We start from the raw sequence: 7,308 nt of genomic DNA, 5'->3' as shown, positions 1-7,308 counted from the left end.
CGATTTCATATTCAGTTCCAGCCCAGGGGCACTGTGGTCCCTGGTTACTCAATTACTGACATTCTAAAATCTCTCCTAAGGCAGTGGATTCTCACTTAACTGCCCAGGAGTGAGGAAATTTGAAAATGTGATCTTTTTATGAGAAACCTTCAAGTGCAAGATTGAAGTCTGAGCCAGATTTGCCATAATTTCTGTTGCCACGCCATCAAAGTGGGGGATGCTATATGCTCCTATGACCTCAGACAAAATTCTGAGATTTTAACTCAAGGCTCTTCCATAACATCTCCTCTCCCCACAATTTAGGCAGTGGTGCTGTTCTATTATCTTTCTCAAATTAAGGGCAATATGGAGAGAAAGGCAAATACTGGCTTCTGGGTTCCTCCAAATAGCCTAGCATAGATATTGTGGTAGGCACAATAGCTCAATGAAAAAGATTTTTTCAATATTAAGAGTAATAGTTTTGGCATAATAGTGGGTATAAATTCCTGATTAGTCTCCTGTCCCAATTCCTCCAGGAGGAGGGGATATAAACTCTTCCTAAGATGGACCAAACAGTTCTTGTCTCCCCTGGAGAAGGGAGAGCAGATCAGATCACCAGGAGGGCTGTTAGTCATGTGGATCCTGCACTGTGTCTCCTGTCAGCATTGAAGCTCTGGGCCTGGATAGGTAGAAAATATAAACTCAAGTCAGTGTGAAGGGGGTCTCAAAGCAGAAGAAAACTGTGCTTCACTTCCCTGTGTGTGGCCTGGGGAGGCTTCATACCCGGTATAGAAGTCTGAGGCCACCATATTGCCAGAGAGGAAAAGCAAAATAGGCTGAGAAGTGTCTACGAGATGGGCAATTAGATAGGCTTATAAGGTAACTACCACAGTATGGTATGAGGAAGGCAGCATAGATAAAGTTCTTAAGTCCACAGAGAGAGCTTGGGAAATCTGAGAGTGGGCCTGTACGCCCAAAAGGATCTTGACATTCAGGAACAGAGAATCGTGTTATGTGATCCTGGGAGCCTGAGCATACACATGAGGAAAGGAGATATGAGTTACATCTCATTGGAAGCCATAGAGGAGAGACGATGATGCCAAGAACCCCTTTTCCTTCCCGCCCCCAAAGCTATTTTAGGATGATATCTAAATTCCTCTCCAACTTTCATGATAGTGCGGTTGTTTATACTTTGATAGACTCCTCTATAAACAACACTAGTAGCAATGATTAAGGAAGTATAACGTAAACAATTAGATATAGATAACCTTAAAAACAAGACCAGCCACTCAGTAAATCAGCAATGGACCAGAAATGCAGACAAGAAAATGAGTCTGAAGCCACATGACTGCTAGGCTGTGGGTCTGGAAGCAAGTATTGTAGTCAGAAATTTGATATCTGTGAGGCAAAGTATTAAAAAATATGCTATGCAGAGAGAAGAACTAGGGCCAGGCTCACTACTTGGGAGCAGGGAAATGGAAGGGGCACCATTAGTAAAAATTACCTAATTTTAAAATTTTTATTTGGGGAAAGTCTCACTTTGTTGCCCAGGCTGGAATGCAGTGGTACAATCATGGCTCACTACAGCCTCAAATTTCTGGGCTCAAGAGATCCTCTTGCCTCAGCCTCCTGAGTAGCTGGGACTACAGGCATGCACCACCATGCATGGCTAATTAAAAAAAATTTTTTTTTGTAGAGATGAGGTCTCATGGTGTTGCCCAGGCTCAAGTTCCTGGCTTCAAGTGATATTCCTGCCTCAGTGTCCTAAACTGTTGGAGTTACATGCATGAGCCACAGCACCCAGCCTGCTAATTTTTTTTTAAAGTAATCCTCCTGGCTGAGTCTTTAGCTTATAAGAAGCTATAGGTCTAAAAAGGATATGAATAACAGACACCCTTAGGACCATGACTGAATCATGTTATTTGTATATTTTGTACTGAATCTATGATGCCCCACAAAACATCATTAGACAGGAGCACTGAGTTGACATTTTAAGACCTGGATGGACTGGACGCCTGTGGATTCTAGAGAGAGAAAATTATGAGTGGCAGGCAAAGTCATTGAGCCAAGAGGGAAGGGATTTTAAGAATGCAAGAGGAAGAAATTTCAAGAAAGCAATAAGAGAAATTCTAAACCAAAATTATAAAACACAGTAAGAAGTCAAATTCTAAGGTAGCTCAGAATACCCAATGAAACAAATTTCATAAGATTGTTGGAATAAAACTTTTAAATAAATGTTGTAGTACTCAAATAGATGAATGAAAACACATCCATTAAAAAGAGAAAGAATATATTAAACAAGAGTTTATTAAACCGTGTTGTTTAATAGAAAAATAACCAATTGAAAGTTATATGATTAAAATATCAATTATCAATTGCATTTATTTAGATAAAAATTCTATAGGCAGGAAACTCTAGTCAAGATGCAAAGAGAGAATTTATGTATTGAAAAACTGTGCTGGAACTGCATTACAGAGAAAAAAAGTAAAAAATACAAGAGCAATTGAAAGTCATGTAGGATAAATAGAGAGAGCTATTTCCATTTAATCCTTCAAGGCAAGTTGAAGGAGAAGAAAATGAAAGAATGTTGTTGAACCAATATTTGAAAATATGAGAAGATATTTGCAATATATACATATTGAGAGAGAGAGAGAGACAAAGTATGTATATACCAGAATGAAGAACTGCAATACATTGATAAGAAAAAGTTAAACTACCTAAGAAGAAAATGGGCAAAAGACTTAAATAGGCATTTTACCAAAGAGGATATCCAAATGGCCAATAAGCATATGAAAAAGTTCTCAATATTTGTACTCATCAGATAAATGTAAATTAAAACCATAATGAGATACAACAGCACAGAATCAGAATTCCTAAAATTAAGTAGTCTGATATTTACAAGTGTTACGGTGTGATATTTACAAGTGTTATGGTTACAAGTGTTATGGAGAAAACAAACCACATTGCTGCAAGGTTTATAAATCAGTACATTCAACCTTGAAAAGTTTTTGGCAATATACAATAAATATAAATATATGCCTAACCTACAAATATATGCCTAAACCAGTTCTATATACCCAAGATAAATGAGTACATATGTATGCTAAAAGACGTTCACAGGAAGGTTTTTTTGCAACTTTATTCATAACTCGCTAAAAAGCAGAAACAACCCAAATATCCATCAACAGTAGAATGAATAAACTGTGATATCTTCATACAAAATACTACACAGCAATAAAAAAGAAGGAACTATGGCAAAATGCAACAACATAAGTGAACTTCACAGAAACATTGAAGAGTAAGAGAAGTAAGAAAAAGAGATGAATAAAGAAGCCAAGACAATGGATATTGAACAGAAATGACAAAGATGCTAGAAATGAGTCCAATTGTATCCGTAGTAATATTAAATGTAAATGGACTAAAGTCAACTATTAAAGCATGCTTTAAAAGTTTGGATAAAAAATATGCTCCTTATATGAGATATGAAAAAAATCACACAGAAAGATTGAAAATAAAGGGATAGGATAAGATATGTGAGAAAATACTATGGAAAAGAAAGCTGGTATAGCTACAATAATATGTTTCGATTACAGGATTTCAGGCAAGTAATAGTAGAAGAGAAAAAGATGAACTCACTCGGGAGAAACCAGCCTCCTCACACACCACTTAGGGGAGTGTAAATTGGTAATCACCTTAGAGAACAAGGTAGCCCTATAGCACATGCTCTCCATGCCTTCCTTATAACCCTTCACCTTATATTTCAGCACACACCTGCCTGACTCAGCTGCCAACACTTGCATGCCTTTACCTGAGGGCTTTCTTTGGCTACTGAAATCTGCTTGGCCCTGGGAGTGCCAGGAAATTAACATCCCCAGGAGCATTCCTCAACCAATGACTGATAAAGTTGATGTATAATTATCCCAGTTCCCTTTTCTCCTTGGTGGAATAACTTTGAAGTTTGTGTTCCCCACTGGCTCTCAGAGTCCTTCAGTGGGATTAAACTCCAGTTACCCAGTAACTTGTTTGATCATGTATCCTTTATTCACTACCTCCACTACCCTGTCTCTCCTCCAATTCCATTATTGGTGTTTCCTGGTATCAATTCACAAATAGACTCTGCACACGAATCTCTGTTTGGATTCTATTTCCAGAAGAATCCTATTAAAACAAGCACATTCGCATAATTCTGAATGTGCACATATTCAGATAAATATCCTGGAGAAACTAAAGCATACGTGTACAAGGAAATATAGGTAAGATTTATTGCCTGCTTCATTGTCTGTAATGGGGGAACTGGAGACTTCTTACATATCCACTGTTGGAGAATGGATAAAGAAATTTTAGTCCATTATGAAATGAAAGAAGGTAATCCTGAACCACAGGTACCAACATGGACACATGTACATATATGGTAAAAGTATAAAATCATGCACAAAAATGATAAACACCAAATTTAGGGTAGTGTTTATATAGAGGAAGAGAAGGAATGCTGTTAGGAAGGGTGCATTGGTGACTTTTCTTCAGGATTTTATTTATTAAAATTGGCCTGTAGGAAATATGGAAAATTATTAAGATTTATTAAAAGTGATGAGACACTGATGAATCACCACTAGTTATTTTATGTATAACTGAGATTTTTCTTAAACATTAAAACAAGAAGCAAGAAACAGAAAGCTCAAACAGGGAAAGAAATCTAATTATTTGCAAGGAACTTCATCTAGTCTCTTTGCCACCAAAATTCCTTCTTGGTCCAAAATTAGGTTCAGATTCAGTTTTCCCCACAGGCCATTAGACTTCCATGACTTTAATAACCCAGGAGCTCTAAGAAATCCTGGGCGCCAGTCTCTTTGAGGTTATCTTACCCCCAGAGATAAATTAAACCAAGAGAGAAGGAAACCCAGGAAATTATAACACCTAGCTCTCCCTTATATAGGTAACTCCTACCTAGATGTTTTCCTGGACTTAAATTTTAGAATTTTTACAAAATTACTTTATTTTTATTTTTTAGAGATGAGATCTCACTGTTGCACAGGTTGGAGTTCAGTGACTTGATTATAGCTCACTGCAGTCTTCAACTACTGGGCTCAAAGGATCTTCCTGCCTCAGCCTCTTGAATAGCTGGGATTACAAATGTAAGCCACTATGCCTGACAAATCTGGGGGCTTTAATATAGGTTTGGCTGCACCATGTTGGTGTACAAACTGCTGTTGACTAAGTCTACATCAAAGATGGGAACTGATCTAAAAATGAGCTTATTTTTCTTTTCTCTCTTCTGAATCCTTCTCTTGCTGGAAATCTGCCTGGATGACATCACATTTTATCTGAGAGTCATACTTTGCTCTCCTTCTCACTTATGTCACCCAGCTGATTGGTCACCAAGTTCCGCTTATTCTGTAGTTTTTGTTTGTTTATTTTTTTCTTTCTATTGAGACAAGGTCTTACTCTGTGGCCCAGGCTGGCTGGAGTGCAGTGGTGTAATTGTAACTCACTGCAGCCTTGACCTCCCGAGCTCAAGCAGTTCTCCCACCTCAGCCTCCAGAGTAACTGGAACAATGGCATGTGCCACCATTCCTGAACAATTTTTGAATTTTTTGTAGAGACAAAGTCTCCCTATGTGACAGGCTGGTCTCAAACTCATGGGCTCAAGCAATCCTCCCTCCTTGGCCTCCCAAAGTGCTCGGATTATAGGCATGAGCCACTGTGCTCAGCCTTATACTACTTTTAAAATGCTTCCTAAATCCATTGTTTTCTCCACAATCTACTGCTATTGTCTTCATACACTCATAACCTCCCACCTACACTATTGATCTAGACCACTCCTGATCTTCATTGGCATGGGAGGTGCCTCCTTCCTGGCTCACCATTTGCCATATCCTCCAATCCCTCTGCCCCAGGCCCCGAGTTGTGGACTACCCCTCACTGACTCTTTTCTGTTGAGGGCCCTTCTCCAGGAGTCCTTTTTAGCAGGACTCTTTCTTAAGTTGATTCAGACCAGCTCTTTACGAAAGGGTCTACACATCTTATACCCAGAAAGTAGACATTCTCACCTCATTGTTGATAGAAGTGCACCTGGCTTCTGGTGCAGCCACCTCTCTTATCTCTATCTCTAAGCAGACATCGCTTTCACCTTTAATCCTAGGTAGGTGAAAATTAGACACCCCAGATTTCAGAGGAAACATATCAAATTCTCCAAGGGATACCCATGAATTTTCTTTTCTTACTAGGCTTAATGTAGGAGAAAAGTATCTCCACTCATCCCCCAAGGCTGGTGGGGTAGGGCAGCAGGAATTGTATGGCAAACTGACACTCTCTCCAAAGAATCATGTCTCCAGGACTCTTTTACTTCAGGTTACTTATTAGAGGGTAGTGTCAGCAATAAAGAGAGCGCTCTAATGAAAATTAAATCCCTGAGGGGAGAAATGTTCTGCCAGTTATTGTTTGTTGGTTATAAAGAAATATATTGAATACTGCTAAACATCATATTTCTTGGTATCCAGTGACCAAATGACATAGTTGAAATCTGTCTTTCAATCAGTGTATGTGAGCATTTTACAATCCAAAATTTGATGAACATATTTTCATTAATCTATCTGTTCATTTTTTCATTCATTTAAAAACTATTTATTGACCTCCTTCCATGTGCCAGACACAAAGAGGGCTAAGATATTGTCTGTGTTATTGAGACATTCACTATAATATGTGCCATTTTATGGGAGTTTGGAGAAAGAAGCACTCAGTTCTTTTTGAAACAGATATAAAGAATTTCATGGAGGAATGAAGATTTGAAATCTTTATGTCTTTATCTGAAAAACAAAACAAAACAAACCTCCTTGGATTCCAATTATTGCTGACTCTTTCCTTCAAACCTAATAACATTGAAAGTATAGTCTTACCACCAGTTTATTCTTTAATTCACTAGTTAGGTTTCTGTTCCTTCTCTTCAATGATACTAGCAAAGGCCAGCAAAGTCCTCCTAATCCCCAAGTTGAATGAGTTTTTAATCATCATCTGATTTGGCCTTCCTCTGATAGTTGACAATATTATTTCCTCCTTGAAAATCTCTCCTCCTTTGATTTCTACAACCTTTTTGTCTCTCAGTGTTCTTCTCCTATTCCTCATTATTTCTTAGTTTCCTGAGTTGGATTCCCTTCTTGCACCCATTCTGTATCAGTGATCTTCAGAGTTCTGCCCTGGCTCAGCTTTTCTTTGCACTTTATACTTAGTCATTTTTATAGTCTCAACTACCATTACATAATGATGTGTCATATCTGCATTTATAGTACACACTTGTCTTATTTCCAGGCCAGTACAAATAACAACCTCCTGGAA

This window comes from Homo sapiens, chromosome 1 (assembly GCF_000001405.40).
Source record: "Homo sapiens chromosome 1, GRCh38.p14 Primary Assembly".
NCBI lineage: Eukaryota > Metazoa > Chordata > Mammalia > Primates > Hominidae > Homo > Homo sapiens.
The sequence above is the reverse complement of the archived record's forward strand: the minus strand, read 5'-3'. Positions refer to the sequence as shown.